Below are 24,317 nucleotides of genomic sequence, written 5' to 3'. Positions count from 1 at the left end.
CTTTCCTCTTTCATAAGGACCCCAGTCATGCTGGATGAGGAGTCCACCCTACTCCAGTGCTGCATGACCTCATCTTAACTAACTACAACTGCAGTAACAAACAAGACCCCAGTCTGAGGAAATAGGGACTAGGGCTTCAGTATATCTTTTTAGGGGACACAATTCAACCCATAATAGGCAGGAGGTTGGCTACAGAAATTAACAATCTATAAAATGGTCATGTCAACATATGGTTACATTCAGAACAATTTCATTTGTCAATCTATCCATAAGCATTCAATGAATACCTATGAAATTAACTAGTACTGAAATAATAATATGGTTTTTTAGAAGAAATAATGAAATGACAACAAGCCAGTCATTCTGAGATACTCCTAACTCAGCATATATCATTATTTAAATCTTGTTTCCAAAGAGTTCACAATCAGTAACTATATAGTGGGCAGCTACTCTGGACCACAATGGAGAGTTCCCCCTCCCCTCAACCAAAAAAATTTGAGATATGTCTTCAAGGAGCTAAAAACTGAGTTGGGAAGATGACAAACAAATGTTTAGATAACAATAAAGATAATTAATATGTATAAAAAAGGTTAAATAGTAATAAAGACAATAACAGAGGTGATACAATTAAAGCAAAACAGAGTATCTGCTTATGCTAATGATCACGGCTTTCATTTACAGATCATCTACTACCTGTCAGACATTGTTCTAATCACAGATTAAGTCATTTAATCCCCACCAAAACCTTAAAAGGCAACTAGGTATTACTATCATCATATGACAACTGACAAACACAAGGAACAGGAAGGTTAAACAATTTGTCTGCTAATAACTGTCAAAGGTGGAACTGAAATCTAGGCAATCTGACCGGCCCTCTCATCCACTAACAGATAGATATCTGTCATTCTCATTCTCTCATAGATGATCATATTAAAATGAGGACATCATGCCTCCTGCTTGCACAGCTGGATAAAAAAAATCTTTTCGGAATTTCATCCACGTGATAAAATCTGATGGTCACAAAGAAGAACCCTAGACTTCACTTTAAAGATGAGTCAACAAATAGGCTTTTTCCCCTGAAATCCATGTCTGTGAGTCACTGAAACAGCACAACCCTTGATTGTCTACTATTTATTTGTATCCACTTAGTCTTTATTAAAACTATCTTTTAAAAGGAGAAAGTTTTTATTACTAGTGCACAAAACACCCCATGAGGTGCAACTATCATGTAATGAGGCATTTGTTAAAAAGCCTGTCAGATCATATATAGCTGAGTTATTCTTCAAAGTAGTCCCCTTTGATGGTGTACACAAATTCCAGCAATGTGGCCACTGTTCAAAGTATTCTTTGAATTATTCTTTTGAAACTGCCTTTGGAATTTAAAGCTACATAAGGTACCATCTCATGAACTTTAACCATATCTTAATTTTTAAACCAAAACCAATGCTCCATACAGCACCGGTGCCCATTCTATGTATTAATAGAGGTGATACAAAATGATTTTGGCCTAGAGCCTTTGAGGATATTTTTTTTAAAGGTGCGAGGATATTTTTTTAAAGGTGCCTGGTCTCTGAAGTCAATCCAAAGAAGAGTTCCAAAATACATTGAATAATTTGGATTTGGAACTTCCTGACCTTCCTCTACATGGGGCTTTTGGAACGCTGCCTAGGGTCTTTTGATTGTTGAGAATGTTGGGCTTGATACATCTTAATTAGTCCTAACTTGCAAGAGCAGGTTGACCTTGAAGGTTAGCAGAGATAAGCAGTAGGAGTAGCAGCTTGCCCAACAGGCAGTTTGCCATAGTAGAGAAGGAGTATGCAAAGGGAATCCCCAAAGATGGCTTAATTAGGATCCTGGGAGAATCAGAAGGAGAAAGACTTGCCATGACCTAGAGAGTATGGACAATAGTTATCTTCATACTTGGAGCAGTTACTTCTTCCAGTCACAAATACAAACAACCACGTATCCTTGTTACAGAAGAAGGTGAAAGGACTGAACGTACATATTTTTATAACTTGGCACTATTGGCAGACAAGGTTTCACAGATGGGGCAGAAATAACCTGAAAAAAAAAAAGGCAGAAATAAAAAAGGCAAGATGAAGAAGAACCAAAACCAGTGTTAAAAGAATGGCAAGGAAAGAGAGGATGAAGAAATTCCAGTTCTAAAATAATGATACATGTGAATCTCGCAGAGAAGATCTATGTCTTTTGAAGGAGCAGTATATGCTGCTCCACAAAGAATTCCCAAGATCCAGATGGAAATTCTGTTATCGACACTAGGAGGAAAAGCTGGGTAGTGGTGGTTAAGAATGGGTATAAATGTGGTGATATGTATAGTCAGTAAGACTATTCATGAGGTGTGCTATCTTCCTGAAGATTGTATCTGAGACGTGGCTTCTATTAACGTAATTCAACATCTATCCATGATTTTTAAAAACACCCTCAGGAAATCAGGAATTGTCAAGGGCACCTATGAAAAACCTTCAGCTGACATCACACTTAGAAAGCATTTCTTCTTTCACCAATAAGAGTGGGAACAAGGCAAGGACGGTCACTCTTATCACTTGTATTTAACATCTTTTAGAGCTTCTAGCAAGTTCAAAACACATAACATATTGGAAAAAAGAAGTAAAACTGTATTTACAGACAACATAATCATGTATGCAAAAAAAATCCTAAGAATACTACAAAAAAACTACTAGAATAAGTAAATTTAGTAAGGCTGCATAAAACACAAAGCCAATATAAAAATTAATTATATTTGTATTGTTAGCAATGAACATATGAACACTGAAATATAAAAATACTGGCCCAGTGCTATAGTTCATGCCTGAAATCTCAGCACTTTGGGAGGCTGAGGCAGGAGGACTACTTGAGCCCAGGAAGTTGAGACCAGCCTGGGCAATACAGCAAGACCCTATCTCTACAAAACATAAAAAAAAAAAATTAGCTGGGCATGGGGGCATGCACCTGTAGTCTTCAGCTACTTGAGAGGCTGAGGAGGGAGGATCACTTTAGCCCAGGAGGTTGAGGCTACAGTGAGCCACCATCATGCCACTGCACTCCAGCTTAGGTAACAGAACAAGACCCTGTCTCAAAAAACTTTATTTTAAAAATGTCATTTGCAATACCAAAAAAAATGAAATACTTAGGGAAACACTGAACAAAATACGTCCAAGAATCACACACTGAAAGCTACAAAACATTGCTGAGAGAAATTAAAGACCTAAATACATGGAGAAATATTGCATGCTTGGGCCAGGCGTGGTGGCTCATGCCTGTAATCCCAGCACTTTGGGAGGACGAGGCGGGCAGATTACCTGAGGTCAGGAGTTCAAGACCAGCCTGACCAACATGGAGAAACCCCGTCTCTACTAAAAATACAAAATTAGCTGGGTGTGGTGGCGGGTGCCTGTAATCCCAGCTACTCAGGAGGTTGAGGCGGGAGAATCGCTTGAACCCAGGAGGCGGAGGTTGCAGTGAGCTGAGATTACACCATTGCACTCCAGCCTGGGCAACAAAAGCGAAACTCCATCTCAAAACAAAAATATACAGATAGATAGATAGATAGATAGATAGATAGATAGATAGAGATATATAGATACATATCGCATGCTCACGGATCAAAGACTCCTAATTGTCATGATGTCAATATTGATCTACAAAGTCAATGAAATCCCTATCAAAATCCCAACAGGCTTGGACAAGATGATTCCAAAATTTGTATGGAAAGGCAAGCGACCAAGAATATTCAAAACAATCTTGAAAAGAAAAAAAAAAAAAAGTTGCAGTACTTCCACTACCTGATCCCCAGACTTATTATAATGCCTCAGTAATCAAGACACTGCAGTACTGGTATAAGGATAGACATACAGATCAATGGAACAGAACAGAGACTATAATTAGGCCCTTCTTTTTGAGGTCCTAGCAATGGTCAATTGATTTTCAACAAAATTACCAAAATGTGTGGGCCTTTTCCCACAAATGATGCTGGAACAGTTTGATGTCCATATGGAAAAATAAATGAATCTTTACCCTTACTTCACAAAATATACAAAATTAACTTGAAATGGAACATAGACATACTAGTTTTATATTGCTGAATAACAAACTTAGCAGCCATAAACAGCACACATTTATCATCTCACAGTTTCTGTGGGTCAGGTGTCCAGGCACAGCTTAGCTGGGTCCTCTGCTCAGGGTCTCACAAAGTTGCAATCAAGGTAATGGCCAGGCTGCATTCTCATCTGGAGGCTCAACTGGGGAAAATCTGCTTCCAAGCTCATTCAGAGTGTTGGCAGAACTCATTTCCTTTAGGCTGCATGGTTGAAGGCCCTGGCTTTTTGCTAAGCAGCTTTTAGTTCCTAGAGACCACCTGCAGTTCCTTTCTATGTGGCCTTCCTCAATGTGGCTGCTCACATCAACAAGTCAGCAAAGAGAATCTCACCTCGGGGAGGACCCAGACCTTCTTTTAAGGGTTTTGTGCTGATTAATTCAGGCCTACCCAGGATAACTTCTCTTTTGATTAATTCAAAATCTACTGGTTGTGACCTTAATTATATCTGTAGAATCCCTACACTTTTTCCATATTCTAGTCTATATTCTAGAAGCAAGTCACAGGTCCTGCTCACACTCAAGGGAAGGGGATCACACAGGTATAAACACCAGGGGTTGGAAAGATCTGTCTGCCAAAACAGATCTAAACATAAGAGCAGGACTAAAAAAGTTCTGGAAGGAACACAGGGGAAAATTTTTGTGAACTTAGGTTAAGTAAAGATTTCTTAAAACACAAAAACTCAAACCATAACAGGGGAAAAAGTAAATAGGACTTCATCAAAATCAAAACTCCTTGCTCTTGCACAGGCACAGTTAAGAAAATGAAAGACAAACCACAGTTTGAGAGAACATGCTTGCAAATCACATATCTGATGAAGTACTTGTATCCAGAATATAAAAAGAACCCTCACAACTTCAGACAGACAATCCAATTTAATAAGAAATGGGCAAAAGATTTCAGCAAATCCTTCACCAAAGAAGATAAACTTAATGGCCAACAAGCACATAAAGACATGCTCACTATTACTAGTCACTAGGAATTTGTAAGTTAAAAATACAATGAGATACCATTATACACCCAGTCAAATGGCTAACATTTTAAAGGCAGACAATTAAAGCCAGTAGGAATGCAAAATGGCACAATGGCATGGCCACTTTGGAAAACAGTTTGACAGTTCCTTGTAAAGTTAAACATACACTAAACATATGGCCCAGCAATGCCACACCTAAGTATTTACACGAAGCAAATAAAAGCATGAGTCCACACAAAGACTTGTATGTGAATGTTCATGGCAGCTTTTTTTCAAAATGGCCAAAAACTGAATCAACTCAAATGATCAACTACTGAATGAATAAATTACATTATAACCATACTATGGAATACTACTCAGCAACAGAAAGTCAGGAACTGCTGATACATGCAACAACACAAAAATGAATATAAAAAGCAGTATGCTAAGTGAAAGAAGCCAGCCACAAAAATACCACATAAGCCTATCCTTGACAAATTTCAAAGAACTACGAGTGTTCACATCATATTCTTTCACCATAATGCAGTTAAGTTGTAAATCAGTTTTGAAAATACCCAGAAAATACATTTGTAAGTAAAAATATACTTCTAAACAGCTCGCAGGTGAATGAAATAATCATAATAGAAAATATCACAACTAAATAATCATGAAAATACTATGTTTTGAAACATCCAAACAGCAGAATAAATCTAAAGAAAGGAGGAGAAAATGAAGAATGATTCCTGGTATATTCTTTAAGTGAAAAGGGCAAGAGGCTGAATAGTGTATGAAATATGTTTTTGTGCAAGAAAAGGGGAAAATACATGTACGTGCTTGCTCAAATTTGCAAAAGATACTTAGAAGAACAAACTAATAAGATTGATCATCTACGGGGGGGAAAGAAACAGAATACCTGGTCAGAGATGGGGTGAAAGCAAGACTTTTCTGAATATACCTTGAAATAAATGTGACTTCAAAATCATATAAAGTTTTTACTCGTTAAAAATTAATCAAAAAAGCAGGGGAAAAGCCCTAAAAGGGAAACAAATGAACATAATTATATTATCAAGTTGGTGCCATAACCACAACTGACAAACCTCTGGTTAGACTAATAAAGAAAAAAGGAGGGCACAAACAAACAATAGTAGGATGCAGGAATGAAAAGACAGACACAGCTATAGATTTGGCAGACATTTGCTGGTAGTTTATAATCTTCCAGGCCCCAGGCAGCTCCATGTGCAAGTTCTAGCAACATTCAAGGAACCAGTAACTCCAATCTTATACAAACTTCCAGAGAACAGAAAAAGGGAATATCTCAACTCACTTTATAAGGCTAGCATAAGCATGATACTAAACTAGACCAAGACAGCACAGGAAAACTAATACCAAATCTTATGTATATAAGATGTAAAAATCCTAAAGAAAGTATTAGCAATCAAACCCAGCAGTAAGAAAGAACATGACCCTGTTGAGTTTATCCCAGCAATACAAACTTAGTTAATGCTACAAAGTTATACTAGAAAATCCCTTAAAATAGCCTACCACATTAACAAGTTCAAGGAGGGAAAACACAGGTTCTCCCTCACGCCTGTAATCCTAAGCACTTTGGGAGACTGAGGCAGGAGAATTGCTTGAGGACAGGAGTTTGAGACCAGCCTGGGTAACACAGTAAGAAGCCCTCTCTACAAAAACACAAACCAAAAACCTATCTCCATAAAGGAAGAAAAGGGGCTTGATAAAACTCAACATCCACTTATGACCGAAAAAAATGTACACTAGAAGTGCCCCTACACAAAACCTAGAGTAAACACAATACTTTATGGTGAAACATTGAAAGCAAGAGCCTTCTCAAGTAAAGATCTTGGGCCCCACCCCAGACCTACTGAATCAGAAACTCCAGGCATGATGCCAGGAATTTGTAGTTTTGCAAAAACCCCTCAGGTGATTATGATGTGGCTTGCTGCTCTGAGTGGGAGCCACAGAGCAACACTGTTGGCATCACCTGGGAGCTTGATGGAAATGAGAAGAAAAAGCTCTCCGGGCCCATCCCGGAACCACTGAGTCAGAATCTGTGTTTCAACTCGAAGTCCAGGTGATTCATAAGGCAATGAAGTTGGAGAAGCGCTCCTGGTAGTGCTGCACGCTGGGACCACTTTTTAAAAATGCAGATGTCAAGAGTCTCAGCCCAGATCAATTAAGTTCGAATATCTGTGGGCGATGCCCAGGGCAGCAAGTATGTAAAACTCCCCAAGTGATTCTAATGAGCAGCAGGAAAGGCAATCTCCTGGTCCGTGGTATTCCCTCTATGAGGAAACTTCTGTTTAGGGACTCTGCACCAGCTCTGAAAAGCCAGAGAAGAAAGAGGCATTCCTCGAGTTCTTTGAAGTTCCCCTCAAGAAAGAAGATTGCATTTCATACATATACCAATGGTGCCTTTTTAATATGGCTTACAAAACTAAAAACTGAAACCGAGAAAAAACCCTGTAGTCATGAGAGCTGCAGGAAGTTGCAGCGGAGGCTGCAAACCCAGAAGTCAGACTTGCCTGGGTTCAAATCCTGATATTACTGCTTCCTAAACGCTTCAGCTTAGACCTAACCTCTCTGAAACTCAGTGGGGATCTTAACAGTTTTTACCTCAAAGCGATGCTGTGAGGATTCATATGAGACCTGATGTAAAAGCACTGGGCTAAGGACTTGGCAAAGATTACACCTAATATTAATGTAAATTATGACTGAGGCGGCTATTTAAGCATTGACAGTGAATCTGATGAAATCCTCAGCAAATCAAGACCAAATGTATCTCTCCACAGCTGTAGCTCCTGAACACTTGAACTGTGGCTAATCCAAACTGAGATGGGCTATAATGTAAAATATACACCTGATTGACAATTTAGTACCAAAAAAGGAAAAACGTGTCATTATTATGTCGATGACACATTGAAATATTTCGCACATGCTGTGTTAAATATATTAAAATTGATTTCACCTGTTTCTTTACTTGTTCAATGTGGCTACTAGAAAATTTTAAATTACACATTCTCTATTGGCTAGCGCTATCTTAAAGGACTGGGAAGCCAGGATATGAGCTGGTACTATTAGACTATTTCCGAACTTTAATTTACTGCAAAATCACCCGGGGGCCTCATTAAAATTCACATTCAGCTTAAGGAGTCGGTGGTGGGTCTCAGTGGGTGAGGATGGGGCTTGAAATTCTGCCTGTTTCACCAGCTCCCGGGGAGCAAGGGCAATCCCCATCAATAAGAAAAACCTGTTTCATGCCATAGGCGTAATGGGAATCTCTGGGGAGATTATTAGAGTTGATATAGTGAAGGAAGGACATGTCCAGCAGAGTTAGACTCAGCTTCAACTTTGAAAAAATCAGTTCTCTCTCCAAGCAAGGGATTCAAAGAGGTGGGGGCCAGCACCAACGGTCAGTCCTCCCTTTGTTAGGGCAGTAGGGACCTGTGCTTTCTCTCCCAGATCCAGAACCACTGACATGGGCAAGGAACACCTCAGAACCAGGAAACTCAAAATGGAATACTGGCTGGGGTTTCTCATATCCTCCTAGTCACATAACCCGTGTTAACCGCAGCGCCCTCCTGGGGTCTCACTGAAACCAAGTGCAAACTTTCCTTCTTACTGTTATCCACAAACAGTACTGACACGCAGGTATATTTCATGTCATGGCCAAGGGTCACTGCTGTGCAGGCAGGTACATTTCTTATTTCAGTAAAAGAGCTTGGGCCAATTCCAGGCCTGCTGGATTCCAGCATAGTACCTATTCTCCTAAATCCCCACCTAAGTTGTCTCAGGGCCATAAAGCAATTTAAAAGTCATATAAGGGAATTTAAAGCACCACCACCTGATGCTAAGAATCTACCTTATAACCCACCTCTGCCTCTACATCTCCCAAGAAGGGGAAAGGATAACTGATGTAGCAATCCATTACATTCCAAGCAAAAGGCTCTGGGAAATAAACAATGCTTCCTTCTCACAAAAAAGTTCAAGGACATGCTATCAAAATATAACAATTATCACATGCTAAAGAAAGGGCATTGCTGTGTGCTGTCAGGGTTTGGAGGCAAGGGGATAAGAGATGAATGAGTTACAAACAACTTTTATTTTTACTTTCAATTATTCCCCCTTCAACTTCCCACCCCAAACATACTAGCAAGCAAAGCAAAAACTAATCTGTACTCAAACTGCTCATGCCAAGAGTTCAAAAATCAAGAAGCTGAGAAGAAAAGGGTGGCAAGACAATGACTGATTCAAAGAACTTTCTCATTTGCTGTTTGACCACGGCAAGAAAGGTTAAGCATGAGCTCCATTTCATCTGGCAGACAGGGAGCATGATCTCTAGACATGCAACAGAATTGGTTACAATGATCATGTGTGAACAATTCTAAGCTGGCCTCCTTTGTCTAGTTCAAGTTAAATAATGTTTACTAAATGTCTACTGTGTGTATAGGACCATCTTAGGTTTCAGACAATCAGAAAAAATATCTCCAACCTCGCCCTTTTTATTACAATCATAGAAAATGAAAAACATACTGAAATATGTAGGAGTTACCTATTAAGACAAACAGTCAAGGAACAGCAATACTAAACTAATACAAGTACATGAAATTCATTGCAAAGTGCAACTTACAGAGACATTTCAAGATACTGAGAAACAACTTTAACGAGAAAAGGCCGCTCAGGCGCCTGCCCTATCACTCAGGAGCCTGCCCTGTTCCAGCAAGGAGGATGGTACAGACCTGGGGAGCTATCAACCATCTCTTCCCCAGAGCCTGGATCGCTTTTTATTCTAACCCCAGAAGCACAAGCATCCAGTCTAGTATGGACTCAGGAGCTGCGGTCAGGTCTCGATTGGAAAAGAGAAAGTCTTCCATTCTGAGACACTTGGGAGAGGCAGGCAACATTCCCTGAGGCTGAGCTTGCCTTGCTGTCACCCTGTGATTGTTGGTTATACACTACTACCATTTTAGGAATACATAAAACAAAAACTTGTTATGGTATACCAGTGACATCAGGCCCCTATGAAAGAGGCAATATAAATACCTGCATATTTTAATGATGACAGAAGAGGGAGATTGAGGCAGAGAGGCCACACCTACAGCCACAGGGAAGACAGTCCAAGAACAGGAAGGACAACTGCCCTCTTATACCAGTTCTCCAAATAGCAACTGCTTATACAACACATTCATGCAATAATAATAATGCTGCACACTTTACAAAGGGCTCTGAGGCACATTTGATTCTCTGACGAACTCTGGAAACTTGGCAGGGCAGGTTTTATTAGCTCTATCTTACAGATGGAAGAGCCACTAGCAGCAAGGTTAAATGACTTGTCCAGTGACACAGAGTTAAGGAAGAGAACTGGGACCTGAACTCAGCTTCTGGAATCCAAATGCAGGAAGCTTTCTACCACCTCACACAAACAAAAGGCTCATTTACCATAGTTCCTCTGGTAGAAATAGAAAGCACTAGTAGTACACAATGCCAATTATCTAAAGAGATGCCTCCACATTCTTAAAAAGAAAAAGATGAGACTGTCGTGGTACTCACAGTGGAAAAATACACTGCAAAGATTTCCAATGAAAAATCTTCCCCCAACTACAGGATGACAACGGGACCTAACTCAGTAACTCCTACTGGGTCTCCTGATACACTCTCACTTTCAAGGCAGATAAACTAGAAGAAGGCCTCTCTTGCTCTATTATTGTTTGTAGCAACAAAATTTGGCCTCAAGAAATTTCTAAGTCCAAATGGTAAAGGGAATATAGCACTGCAAGAACGGAGGACACTGCTGCCAGCGTCGCCTGGAACCAAAAGCTCGTGCCAACAAGGAAATGCAGAGAAATGTCGAGAAAAGCAAGCTACTGGATTCCAAAAGTTTATTAAGACATAGCTAGAATAATGTATTTTCTTAAAAACAAAAGAGTTCCATATCGTTCAAGTCAATAACAGCTTTTCTTTAGTGTCTACTACATGCAAGACACTTTTCTAAGCACTTAGCATAGATTATTCACTCAGTCCCTCCAGCAACCCTTTGAGAAAGGTACTATTATTATTCTCATTTGACAGATAAGGAAACTAAAGCACAGAGTTAAGTACCTTGCCTAAAGTCACACAGATAATATTAGGTCCAGGATTCAAATTGGGGCAGGCTGCCCAATCCAGAGTCAAAATCTTCTAGGCAAATGACGGTCCCTATCCCCCACATCTGCCAAAAAGGAAATAAAGAACTAGAAAACTAGAAAATAATGAAAGCAGAACTTCAAAGAGGTCGAAAACAGGAAAGGAAAATTACTAAAGAATAATGAAAACAATCTATTATTCTGTTACAAAATCGAATAAACTTTAGAAATGAGAAACTCCAGCCTTTGAAATCCTCTGGTTACCCCTTTAAAATGTCACCTATTAATCGTTGAGAGTCTCCACTTTTCTCTTTATTTTGGAGCCCTCAATAAGAGCAAGAACCATGTGTTTTCAGTGGTTTCTAAGTAACTACATTTTGTTAATCTGCCTCTCATTTTGGAACAAAAAATATTAAAGTATTTTTTGTAACTTTAATTATTTTTCAGACCTGTAAAAGTTTAAAATTTTGCTTTGAAGCCATTGAACATACAGAATATGAGAGAACTTAGAAGGTATTAAACAGATGAACTTTTACAGTCAACTCTCATTAATGCCATTTTATTAGCGAGCACTCTTGTTCCTAAGAATGAGTGCTTCTTTTCTCTTGAGCTATTTCAAAATGAACTAGTTTCTTTACAAACCACACAAGGACTGATGATCATTTCAGATAAGAGGTTCACAGTACAAACCATTGCACAGGAAGAGAAACCCTTGTGCAAGGTAGCCTGAGAGTCCAGCAGACACCGGCATGAAATCAACAACCAATATTGACCTCAGCAGAGCTTTCTGTAGCTACAGTCAGCTATCTAACTATGAAAACAGCAAAGGATTTGAAAAATACCTCTCTAGGTATTTGAAATCACTTACTGTTTGCATGTCGGGGTGGGGGGAAATGTGAGTAAAAATGAGGCTGGGATGAGCTTACCATCTAAAAGACACTCATTGGAGAAATGATGACTCCAAAAAATCTCTTTGATTCAGAGATTTACTTTTGGATTTATTTCCTTTACTGGAGCAGCAGCTGGCAATCTAAAACTAGAAATTCAAAGTAATGCCCAAGTCATTCTCAATCATGCCAGCCTGTTTCACTGTCATTGTAAGGTTTCAGAGCTCTATTTTTTCTCATAGCGCTCATCTCTGCCAGAAAATATATCATTGTTTATTTTTTTATTGTGTGCCTCCCCACATATAAACTCTATAAGGCAGGGACCTCAGCAGTGGGGCTCTTTGCTGTCTTCCCAGTGCCCACCGTTGGCATTCTTGTGTTTGATGAATGAATGAAACCATCGACAACTTAATAAATGTAGTTAGAACTTTAAGTTAAAGAGACCAATCATTTACTAACTACACTAGAATCTACAAGCCCCCCGTGAATGTTATCCACCCTCAAGCACCCGGGAGGGTACTATACACTGGTGCTGCAGGCAGCACCACTGGTTCAAATCTCCCCCATGGTGTGGAATCTCTGAAAAGTAGATTTGATTTTGTGAAGCAGCCAAAAGCCATTCAGAATCAAATCTGGTGAATACATGATCGTGCCCAATATATATGTTGGATGAAGGCAAACGTGTCTGCAAAGTAACAGGCCTGATTGTCTTATTTGGTTGGTAAACCGATTTTGAAGGAAATTCAAAATGGTTTGCAGTCTAGCAAAATTGCTGGCTCAGTCTCAAGACTCTAAGGTGCTTATTTCACAAGGAATAATACTGAGCTGTGGTAAAAAGAATCCAGACTAGACAGACACCAAGATACCCCCAAAGAGCTGGCTTGTGATATTAGCTTTGCCATTAAGTTGCCCTGAAGCCCGGGACATATTAGTTACCCTCTCTGGGCCTCAGTTCCCCCATCCAGGAAACAAATGAACAATGTAAACTTCAGGATGCCAGTCAATTCTAAAATGCTATAATTTTATTCTTGTGAAGATCTGGTGTATCTGTTTCAAAACCAGTCGCAACCCACTTCGCCTCAAACGATGCGTGCGTCTATAAAGCTCTAATATAATTTTTGCAGCAGATTCACTTCTTACTTGCTTAGGCAAATACTAAAATTAGTTTTCACTTCCTGAGCGCAGCAAAAGACAGTTAAGGGAGGCAACCCGGCCACGGGCGCTTGCTCGTGCCTGTACATACTTCCGACTGCGTATCAGGGAACTAACCGTTCCCTCTAAGATCTTCCCTCAACTGTTGCAAAAGCAGATAAACCTCTCGTGTATGACACAGAAACACTGGCCGAGAGCGGCCATCGAGGCTTCGCGGCCAGTGCCGGGCTGCGGCCGCTCCGCAGGGCCCACCGGGGATGCGACGGACGCCCGCTCCGTGCGGAGGGCCAAGGCGAGGACCAGCCGCGGAGCGTCGCCGGGGAGGCAGGGCGGACGCCCGGCCCACTCACCGCCCCGGGACGGGGAAGCAAAGTCCAGGCAGTGGCTGAGACGTCCGCCCCCAGCTCCACGGCCAGCCAACCCCTACCCCCGTCCCGACCTTCGCCCGCCGCCGGCCGGCCACCTTGGGCGGGGAGAACGGGAGGAAGCCGGAGGTACCTGCCTGCTGCTCCCTGGCCTCAGCCCTGCCCCGCGGGGACAGCGACGGCGCTTGGACGAAACCCCCACCCAACCCTGACGGTGCGGCAAGGCCCCGCGCGACCCGCTGGCCCAAGGAGTCCCAACTTCCTCCTCCCGATCCCCTCACCACGGGTCCCCGCAGTGCCCGGCTCCGAGCCAGGCCAGCCGTGAGCGCGCACCCACCTCGGGCTCCGGGCGCCACCGCCGTTGCCAGGCTGCTCGGCTGCCGGGCCCTGCTCCGCCCCCTCTGGGGTCCGCCCCCCACGGCCTGCCCGCCCCCGGCCACCGCCCGCTGCCCGCCTCCCCGTGCCGGTTGGCGGGACTGCATCACGTGACGGGGCAGGGGGCAGGAAGAGTGCGCCGGGTCGACCTGGGGAGCAGCTCCGAAGGGCGGGGCTCTTCGCCCGAGAGGCTGCTGGGAAGCCCATTTTGAAGGGTCCGACGCATGGAGGCAGCTGGGAATTGTAGTTCGCAATATGGTGCTGGGGATGGGCGGGGCCAAGATGCCAGGGGCCATCCCTGTAAGGGAAGTTGGACTGGGCGCCGGGCGGAGGCGGCTGGGAAGCGTAGTCCCGGGACCCTTGTCTGGGTCTCCCCATTTTTCTTCAGTAAAGGGGAAATCCAGAGGGAAAACTTCTCTATACAAGACTTTAGCGGATGCCACTAAATTGAGCTATTATTGGGTACACAGGGTTGGCTGCGTAAAGTTGAGATAGTATAAGGGAAAAAGAAATTTCACTGACTCTGGGGCAGGATCTGCAATTCACAAACTCAACTAACAGCTGGGGTGTCCCTCAGCTGTGCCAGCACCTTTCCAAGAACGCAATTGAGACTTAGTGAACGGAAACATTTCAGTCCAAAATTCCTTCTACTTGTTGAGGTTTGGGTCAGACAACTATTGATACAGTAAAAAGAAAGGGACAGGAAAAAGAGAAGAAAGGCAAACTTCAAGAAGAGAATTCATTGTGTAATCAAATAAAACAAACAATCTGGGCCGGGCGCGGTGGCTCACGCCTGTAATCCTAGCACTTTGGGAGGCCAACGCAGGCGGATCACCTGAGGTCAGGAGTTCGAGACCAGCCTGGACGACATGGTGAAACCTCGTCTCTACTAAAAATACAAAAATTATCCAGGCGTGGTGGCAGGTGTCTGTAATACCAGCTGCTCGGGAAGCTGAGGCAAGAGAATCGCTTGAACCCGGGAGGGAGAGGTTGCAGTGAGCTGAGATGGCACCACTGCACTCCAGCCTGTGTGACAAAGCGAGACTGCGTGTCAAAAAAATTAAAAAAAGAAAAGACAACCTGGCACATAGAAAAATGAGCATAATATTCTTTGTACTGCATAATACTTATACGCGAGCAGTTCGAGTAAATAGGATGACTTTATCATGACCTGTTTTTTTTCTCTTGTATGTGTTAGTTCTCCAGCATCTAAAAACAGCATTTTACCTGATACCAGTGTATATGTGTACGTGTGTTTCTACATAGTCACACACATATACACATATATTCATATATCATTTATATATGCATATATATATGCTTTATTGAAGAGTCTAGACTTCTTAGAAGAGTAACAAAGCCATCCAGAATCCAACCCAACCCACTCTTTAGCCACTTCTCCCAGTGTGCCTCTTTTTGCTCTTCACCCCAAGCTCTGGCCTAGTTCCAGGGAACTTGATGCACTGGGTTTTTTCTTTCCTCCAGCCCTTTCCACTTGGTCCTCTCTCCTGGATTTGCCAAACTCCTGGAAAGACAGCAGAATAGCAGCTGCTCCTGGGCCCCCGCACAATTAGAAGTCTCCCCCACCCAGCCCTTCTTGTTGTACTGATGTCATCATTTGCTTACACGTCTGCTCTGCCAACTCCCCTCCCCAGACTATGAACTCCTTTGAATCTCATTCACTTTTGTGCTGAATTTCAAAGCACGCTCAGTAAATTTGCATGCTAGAGAGGCTCCCTGGTGGGCTGCTGAATAACTCTGGATTCCTGGTATCTGTGAATCTTAGGGCAGAGGGATAGAGGAAAATGGGGATGGGTGGAGGGAGGGCAGCAGCTGCCTGGGATACCTTGCATATAATAGGCCTGGTTAAGTGTCCCAAGATGAGGCCAAAGCTTTTCGATGGAGCTGGGAGGAGCTGGGGGTTAGGAGGTGGGGAAGGTGCAGAGCAGGGATGGTCTCATCCTAAGGAGGTAATTCCTGAAGATTTTTCCAGGGTCCAGCCCCAGCCCAGCCCCACCTCTAGAAAGATGCAATTCAACCAGAAAGGGCCAGTAGAGAAGATTAGCCTTTGGCCTGTGAAATGGAGAGAGTAACCCCTGCCGTGCCTGTCTCACGGTGTAGGTGCAGAGATCGAATGAGGCAACAGATGAGGAAGCACTTTGAAAACTGTAAAGGTTGTACACTATGGGCTGGGCGCGGTGGCTCAGGCCTGTGATCCCAGCACCTTGGGAGGCCGAGGCGGGCGGATCACTTGAGGTCAGGAGTTCGAAACCAACCTGGCCAACATGGTGAAACCCCGTCTCTACTAAAAATACAAAAAAATTAGCCAGGCGTGGTGGTGGGCGCCTGTAATCCCAGCTAATCGGGAGGCTGAGGCAGGAGAATTACTTGAACCCGGGTGGTGAAGGTTGCAGTGAGCTGAGATTGCACCACTACACTTCAGCCTGGGTGACAGAGTGAGATTCCATCTCAAAACAAACAAACAAACAAGGTTGTACACTATGGAGGGGTTACCGCCTTGCCCTTGGTGACATCGCTGTATTCTTGACTGAGCCTGCCCTCTTCCAGGCTGGGGCTGCACTCACATTTCAGTGTGTGTGTGTGTGTGTGTGTGTGTGTGTGTGTGTGTGTAGGAATCTTCAGGCTTCCCTGCATTTTGCACACATACACCCCCCCATCATGCAGGAGGCCTGTGAGAAGATGGCTGGCCTCCCTCTCCAGGGCTCCAGGACAATAGAGAGGAGGGGGCAATAGATGCGACCTCAGGCTGCTTCTTCCACAACCCTTCTGAGTAGCACAGCCTACACCTGTTTCCGCCCCTCTCCCCCAGAGTCCTCCCGCTTTTGCTAAGGCACAGGCTGGAGGGCTGGAGGCACCTCCTACCTTCAGAGGCTTCATCCTGTTCTCTGCAGTTGGGGGAGGCAGGCTAGGCAGCACCAGGAGGAGCCTGCACTCTGGATTTGGTTGGCTTCATCCCTTACCTCCACCTCTGGCCTCTCACCTCCTAGATAAGAAGCAGGCCCGAGCGAGGAAATGGCCTGTTTCCTGCTACTTCTCCCTTGGCCTCTATGCTCTGATCTCCCCAGTCCCCACTCCTGCCTCAACTTAATCCTACCAGGTTCAATGTATTGGGCCTGAGGCAGGGGAAGGTGGAGGAAAGGGAGGGGCATTCTTACTGAGGAAAGAGAAGGCTGAAGAAAAAGAAAATTAGGAATGAAAAATTTTAAATGTAGCTGTGGGTTACCATGCTCTAGCAGAAAGCACTTGGAACTAGGAAACCTGATTCAGGTCCCAGAAATTCTATAGGCAAGCTGTTGGCCTTGGGAAAGTCACTTCACCTCTCTGATCATTAACTGCTTCCTCTGAAAAAAAGGGGTTGAATGCCACCTCCCAGGGTCGTTGTGTCCCCTTGAGGATAGATGTAAATGTGATGTATAGAGTGTCAAGGCAGCAGAATTCCCAAGTTGCCACGGTGATCACTGGGGAGAGAGATGGGAGAGGATAGGGGGTAAGCCCCTGTGCACTGACACAAAGGTTCCAGGGTTTAAATCCTAGCTCTTCCATTTGTTAGGTGTGTGACTTCGGGCAAGTACACCTCTCCAAACCTCTACTTCCTCATCTGTGAAATGGGTTTTATTCATTAACTCCTTCATAAGCTTGTTGTGAAGCACATGAATGCCAGGTCTAACTTCTGAATCTAGGAGAACTGCAAAGCAGCTCTGCCTACCTCCTCCTCCCCAACCCCAGTCTGTATTTAAAAAGCAGCCTCAGCAGGATAGTGCAGCCCCTTTGGAAAATGGTTTGGCAGTGAATTACAAAGGTAAATGTACATATGGCCGAGCAATACTATTCCTAGGTATTTATCCAAGATATATGGAAACATACGTTCACAAAAAGACGTGTATTCAAATATTCACAGCAGCCTTTCAAAAATAATAGTCAAAAGCTGGGCGCGGTGGTTCACGCCTGTAATCCCAGCACTTTGGGAGGCCGAGGTGGGTGGATCACAAGGTCAAGAGATCGAGACCATCCTGGCCAACATGGTGAAACCCCGTCTCTACTAAAAATACAAAAAATAGCCAGCCTTGGTGGCGTGCACCTGTAATCCCAGCTACTCAGGAAGCTGAGGCAGGAGAATCGCTTGAACCCGGGAGGCGGAGGTTGCACTGAGCCGAGATCGTGCCACTGCACTCCAGCCTGGCGACAGAGTGAGACTCCTCTCAAAATAATAATAATAATAATAAAAAATAGTAAAAGAATGTAAGCATCTCAAATCCCCACTGATTAAACCCATAGCTAAGCCAATGGTGATATATGCACCCAATGGAATATTACTCAGCAATAAAAAGGAAGAACTATTGATATATGCTACAACTTGAATGAATCTCAAAAATATCATGCTAAATGAAATAAACTGTACACAAAATATTATATACTGCATGATGCCATTTATATTACATTTTGGAAAAGGCAAAACAATAATGATAGAAAGCAGATTTATGGTTGACTGGGGCCAGAGGTCAGCCTAGAGGTGGGTGGGGGATTGACTCCAAAGAGGCAAGAGGAAAGTTTTGGGGGTGATTGATAGAAATGTTCTGTGTCTTGATTGTTGACACGATCATGAAACCATATACAATTGCCCCCAAATCATTATACTATAAACATGAGATGGGCGAATTTCACTGCAGATAAGTTATACTTCGGTAAAGCTGAGTTTGTTTTTTTTGTTTGTTTGTTTTGAGACAGAGTTTTACTCTGCCTTCCAGGTTGGAGTGCAGTGGCACAATCTTGGCTCACTGCAACCTTTGCCTTCCAGGTTCAAGTGAGTCTCCTGCCTCAGCTTCCCAAGTAGCTGGGATTACAGGTGTGCACCATCACGCCCAGCTAATTTTTGTATTTTTAGTAGAGACGGGGTTTCACCATGTTGGCCAGGCTGGTCTTGAACTCCTGACCTCAGGTGATCCACCTGCCACAGCTTCCCAAAGTGCTGGGATTACAGGCGTGAGCCATCGTGCCCGGCCCAATAAAGCTGAGATTTAATCCCAGCACTTTGGGAGGCCGAGGCAAGCAGATCACGAGGTCAGGAGTTCAAGACCAGCCTAACCAACGTGGTGAAACCCCGTCTCTACTAAAAATACAAAAATTAGCCAGGTGTGGTGGCACGTGCCTGTAGTCCCAGCTACTCAGGAGACTGAGTCAGGAGAATCGCTTGAACCCGGAAGGCAGAGGTTGCAGTGAGCCAAGATCACTGCACTGCACTCCAGCCTGGGTGACAAAGCAAGACTCTGTCTCAAAAAAAAAAAAAAAAAAAAAAAAAAAGCTGAGATTTAAGCATGGGAAGAAGACAAGAAGACATAGCCTCAGTTAAGATTCCTAAGGCTGCCCAGAATTGTCTATCTCTTTTTGGTTGGTTGGTGGGTTGGTTGTTTTCTAAGAGGACTGGGGTCTTGAAGGGGAGAGAGTGGTGATGCTTGCCGTGAAAATAACAAGGATGTGCTACCCAGTCTGTTCACCATCACAATCAAGAAATAGAACATTTCTATCATTCCCGAAGCAGGAGAAGACAGAGCCCAGCCTAATGGGGGCAGGACAGAGAGAGCTTACCTGGATGCAGGAGACCTGGGATCTACATCCCAGACAGAGAGAGCATTACCCTTGTGGGCCCCAGGGATCAGAAGCTTCCCCCAGCTTCTCTCTGGGAGCTGCCAGTGATCTGCAGGCACATGTGCAGTGGGGCTCCAGGAGACCGTGAAAGCCAACCTGTACACTCTGCTCCTGGGCAGACGAGACTGCTATTGCTTCTCACTGGTATTTTGCTTCCACTTTCTCACAGAGCTCAATGTTAAGTTGGAGCCTCCTTGAGGAGGCCCCGCTGGTCAGCAGGTTCTATTTTGCCAGGTGCTAGATGGAAGTTTGAGCCAAGTAATGGGACATGAAAACACATACAGAGAGAAACCCAGGTTCTTTGTCTCAGGGCTTCTTGGACACCGGGGCCAGCACAAAGGGCTTATGGTCATGACATCACAATGTTTCCAAGTGCCAGTCCTGTTTGCTTCCTTCATCACTAGGCACATATAGGGTATTCACCGAGGACTTTGAAGTCTAGTCCACAGGCAACACCATGACAAAATTGCCCCAGTCAGATCACAAATAAAACTAAACCCAACTCACAAGATCCTCTCCTTCTACCCCCAATTACAAAGACTTAAATAAGATAAAAATAAAAGAAACCTCAGTTGTTACACTAAATAACTTTTAAGAAAGTAAGCCCTATGAGGAAATGTTTCACGATACAGTCAAGTGTGTTTTACTCAAAACAGGCTTTTTAAAAAGAGCTTTATCTTTTATTTGAAGGGCCTGATTCATGTTGAGGTGTGTAGTATGCTACTTCTCAAACACAGATTTGTAGACCCAAGATTAAAACCAAGAGAGAATATATGAGAAGGGAAAAAATAAAAGATTAAAAAAACCTGAGGTCGGGTTCAGCGGCTCATGCCTGTAATCCCAACACTTTAGGAGACCAAGGCAGGTGGATCAGTTGAGGTCCCACTTGAGGTTTGAGACCAGTCTGGCCAACATGGTGAAACCTCGTCTCCACTAAAAATACAAAAATTAGCCAGGTGTGGTGGCAGGTGCCTGTAATCCCAGCTACTTGGGAGGCTGAGGCAGGAGAATCGCTTGAACCCAGGAGGTAGAGGCTGCCGTGAGCCGAGATTGCACCACCGCACTCCAGCCTGGGTGACAGAGTGAGACTGCCTCAAAAAACAAAAACAAAAACAAAACTGAATGTCAGCAAATATTTGCTGAACCTGAACGAAATTGTGTTATTTAAGATTAATTAAAATGAATAAAATAGGAATAAACTTAATCAAGGAGGCAAAAGACTTTTACAATGAAAACTGCAAAATATTGCTAAAATAAATTAGACACAAATAAATGGAAAGACAGCTGTGTTCAGGGATTAGAAGACTCAATATTGTTAACATGTAAATACATTCCAAAGTGATCCACAAATTCAATGTAGTCGCTATCAAAATCTCAACAGCAGAGATATTTTATTTTTAGACTAGAAAAATACATCATAAAATTCACATGAAAATCAAGGGGCCCCAAATAGCCAAAACAATCTTGAAAAAGAAGAATGAAGTTGGAGATCTCACATTTCCTGATTTCAAAACCTTACAAACCTATAGTAATCAAAATAGTGTGATACTGGCATAAAGACAGACATTTATACCAATGGGATAGAATAAAGAGACCAGACAGAAACCTTAAAATATATGGTCAAATGATTTTCAGACAAAGGTGCCAAGACCATTCAATGGGGAGAGGGCATCTTTTCAACAAATGCTGTTGGGAAAACCAGATATCCACATGCAAAAGAATGAAGTTAGACCCTAACCATACACCATATACAAAAATTAACTGGAAATGGATGAAAGATCCAAATGTAAGAGCTAAAACTATAAAACTTTCAGCAGAAAACACAGGGGAAAGCTTCTTGACAGGATTTGGCAATCATTTTTTAGCTATGACACCAAAAGCACAGCAACAAATGTAAAGTAGATAAATGAAGTACATCAAAATTTAAAACTTCTGTGCGTCAAAAGAAACAAAAGAGTGAAAATGCAACCTAAAGAATGTAAGAAAATATTTGCAAATCACATATCTGATGAAGGATTAATATCCAGAATATATAAAGAACCCCGGCTGGGTGTGGTGGCTCACGCCTGTAATCCCAGCACTTTGGGAGACCGAGGCGGGCGGATCACGAGGCCAGGAGATCGAGACCATCCTGGCTAACACGGTGAAACTCCGTCTCTACTAAAAATACAAAAAATTAGCCGGGTGTGGTGGCGGGTGCCTGTAGTCCCAGCTACTCGGGAGGGTGAGGCAGGAGAATGGCGTGAACCCGGGAGGCGGAGCTTGCCATGAGCTGAGATCACGCCACTGTCCTCCAGCCTGGGCGACAGATCGAGACTCAGTCTCAAAAAAAAAAAAAAAAGAACCCCTACAAGTCAACAACAAAAAACTCCATTAAAATAGGGAAATGCAAATCAAAACCGCAATGAGATATCAGCTCACACCCATTAGGATAGCTACTATTTTTAAAAAACACAAGCCAGGTGTGATGGCTCATACCTGTAAACCCAGCATTTTGGGAGGCCAAGCCGGGAGAATTGCTTGGGCCCAGGAGTTCAAGACCAGCCTGGGCAACATAAAGAAACCCCTGTCTCTACAAAATATTCAAAAAATTAGCCAGGTGTGGTGGTACATGCCTGTAGTCCTAGCTACACAGGAGGTTGAGGCTAGAGGACTGTTTGAAACTGAGAGGTCAAGGCTGCAGTGAGCCATGATGGCACCACTGCACTCCAGCCTAGACAACAAAGCATGACTTTGTCAAAAAAAAAAAAAAATACAAGTAAAACCCCACAGAAAATAGCAAATATTTATGAGCATGTGGAGAAATTGGAAGCCTCGTGCATTGCTGGTGGTAATGTAAAGTGGTGCATCTGCTGTGGAACACAGTATGATGGCTCCTCAAAATATTAAATACAGAATTACCATAGGATCCAGCAATTCCCCTTTTGGGTATATACCCACCAGAATAGAAAGCAGGGTCATAAAGAGATGTTTGTACACCCATGTTCATAGCAGCATCATTCAGGATAGCCAAAAGCTGGAGGCAATGCAAGTGTTCATTGATGATCAAAGGAGAGAGATAGATAAACAAAATTTGGCATATACATACAATGGAATATTAGTCTTAAAAAGGAGGAAAATTCTGACACATGCTACAACATAGATAAACCTTGGGGACATCATGTTAAATGAAATAAGCCAGTCAAAAAGGCAAATACAGGCTGGGAACAGTAGCTCACACCTGTAATCCCAGCACTTTGGGAAGCTGAGGAGGGCAGATCACCTGAGGTCAGGAGTCCAAGACCAGCCTGACCAATGTGATGAAACCCCATCTCTACTAAAATAACAACAACAAAATTAGCTGGGCATGGTGGCGCACGCCTGTAATCCCAGCTACTCGGGAGGCCGAGGCCGGAGAATTGCTTGAACCCGGGAGGTGGAGGTTGCAGCGCACCAAGATTGCGCCACTGCCCTCCAGCCTGGGTGACAGAGCGTGACTCCGTCTCAAAATTAAAAAAAAAAAAAAAGGCAAATACTGTAAGATATGAGGTCCCTAGAGTAGTCAAATTCATAGAGGCAGACAGTAGAATGATGGGGGCCAGGGGCTGGGGGAAGGGAGAAAAAAGGAGTTATTGTTTAGTGGGTATAGCGTTTCAGTTTTGCAGGATGAAGAGAGTTCTGGAGATTGGTTTCACAACAATGTGAATGTACCTAACACTATTGAACTGTATGCTCAAAAATGATTAAGATGGTAATTTTATCATGTTATCATAATTTTATCATAAAATTTTATGTCATATTTATTTTACCACCATTGAAAAAAATTAATTAAGCCCTCACAAGTAGCTTGAGCTTAGGGGACCAAAAACTCAGACTCATTGATAACATTCTCTGTGGTTCATCTCAGACGTGATTGTACCTTTCAAGGTCAGCTTCCACCCAGGACAGGAGGTCTCATGTCCTGCTTCAGAAACAAAGCCTCCCACAGGGAGCCAGAAGTAACTAAGAGCCCAAGTCCCAGGCGACTAGAAGGATGAGGAAGCCAGAATATGTGTCCTTTCCAAAATAAATACTACCCCTCTTTGTTTCACTGCCAAAAACCCATGAGAGTTGTGAAGGCGGTGGGAGGGGGATCTTTTCCCAGAATATCTTCCCAGACCCCTCCTCTCCACTCAGGAGAGCAAACACCAGAGAGAAGGCAGGCGGGGCTGTGTAGGGGAGCAGGACGCGATGGAATCGCCTTAGAAACTGCCTTCTAAGGATCCCACTCGTCAGGAGGTAGGCAGCTGAGGTGCAGTTCTTTGACAGAATGCTTCAGATGGAGTCTAACAAAGGCACGCCCTCTCCAGTTAGAGCCTCCAGGGATCACTTCAAAAAGGTCATTGACCAATGGATGGGGGAAGTGCACTCCCCCACTCCCCAGGAAGCCTGTTAACCCTATTAATCTTCAGGTGAGGGCCTCCGGGGGTAGCTATTTGTGAACAGAATGGAGTCTCAGCCACCTCCCCAATCCCCTACCCCTACCCCTGTCAGGCCCCTAGGAAGTAAAAATGTAGCATTTCCAGCAGGAGTATTTCTAGTGACAGCTGGAGACCACCCACCTGCCCTTCCTCATACCATGAGGGCTCATGGGAACGAAGCCGAAGCGCTAGGGAGTGAGAGCATTGGCAACTGCCCAGACTAAGAGCC

At 43.4% G+C, this 24,317-nt stretch overlaps 1 protein-coding gene across 11 annotated transcripts in view, besides 5 other annotated features; it reads right to left on the bottom strand.

Annotated features, from left to right (window-relative positions):
• MTM1 (myotubularin 1) overlaps positions 1 to 19,957 on the bottom strand; it is a 110,491-nt gene extending 90,534 nt beyond the window's left edge. For 5 of the 11 annotated variants that reach the window (XM_011531171.2, NM_000252.3, NM_001376906.1 and 2 more), the window contains exon 1: positions 13,948 to 13,989. The gene's annotated coding sequence lies outside the window, so the exon portion shown is untranslated. Of the gene's footprint in view, positions 1 to 13,891; positions 13,990 to 19,589 lie in introns of those variants that run through there. The other 6 variants (XM_047442133.1, XM_047442134.1, XM_017029548.2 and 3 more) reach the window with 2 other exon arrangements.
• Positions 7,399 to 7,498: an enhancer, noted in NCBI's record as "active region_30022". NCBI's record gives its function as "activates an Ori minimal core promoter by ATAC-STARR-seq in GM12878 lymphoblastoid cells {active_cell/tissue: GM12878}" and the evidence as "EXISTENCE:reporter gene assay evidence [ECO:0000049][PMID:35858748]".
• Positions 8,518 to 8,567: an enhancer, noted in NCBI's record as "active region_30021". NCBI's record gives its function as "activates an Ori minimal core promoter by ATAC-STARR-seq in GM12878 lymphoblastoid cells {active_cell/tissue: GM12878}" and the evidence as "EXISTENCE:reporter gene assay evidence [ECO:0000049][PMID:35858748]".
• Positions 13,508 to 14,187: a silencer, noted in NCBI's record as "silent region_21050". NCBI's record gives its function as "represses an Ori minimal core promoter by ATAC-STARR-seq in GM12878 lymphoblastoid cells {active_cell/tissue: GM12878}" and the evidence as "EXISTENCE:reporter gene assay evidence [ECO:0000049][PMID:35858748]".
• Positions 15,472 to 16,393: an enhancer, noted in NCBI's record as "OCT4-NANOG-H3K27ac-H3K4me1 hESC enhancer chrX:149734667-149735588 (GRCh37/hg19 assembly coordinates)". NCBI's record gives its function as "activates a minimal SCP1, AML or CMV promoter by ChIP-STARR-seq in naive H9 embryonic stem cells {active_cell/tissue: H9 hESC(naive)}" and the evidence as "EXISTENCE:reporter gene assay evidence [ECO:0000049][PMID:30033119]".
• Positions 16,394 to 17,316: an enhancer, noted in NCBI's record as "H3K27ac-H3K4me1 hESC enhancer chrX:149733744-149734666 (GRCh37/hg19 assembly coordinates)". NCBI's record gives its function as "activates a minimal SCP1, AML or CMV promoter by ChIP-STARR-seq in primed H9 embryonic stem cells {active_cell/tissue: H9 hESC(primed)}" and the evidence as "EXISTENCE:reporter gene assay evidence [ECO:0000049][PMID:30033119]".
• Positions 19,958 to 24,317: the final 4,360 nt, after the last annotated feature.

Source organism: Homo sapiens, chromosome X, assembly GCF_000001405.40.
Source record: "Homo sapiens chromosome X, GRCh38.p14 Primary Assembly".
NCBI classification, from domain to species: domain Eukaryota; kingdom Metazoa; phylum Chordata; class Mammalia; order Primates; family Hominidae; genus Homo; species Homo sapiens.
This window is presented reverse-complemented; position numbering and strand designations above follow the sequence as displayed.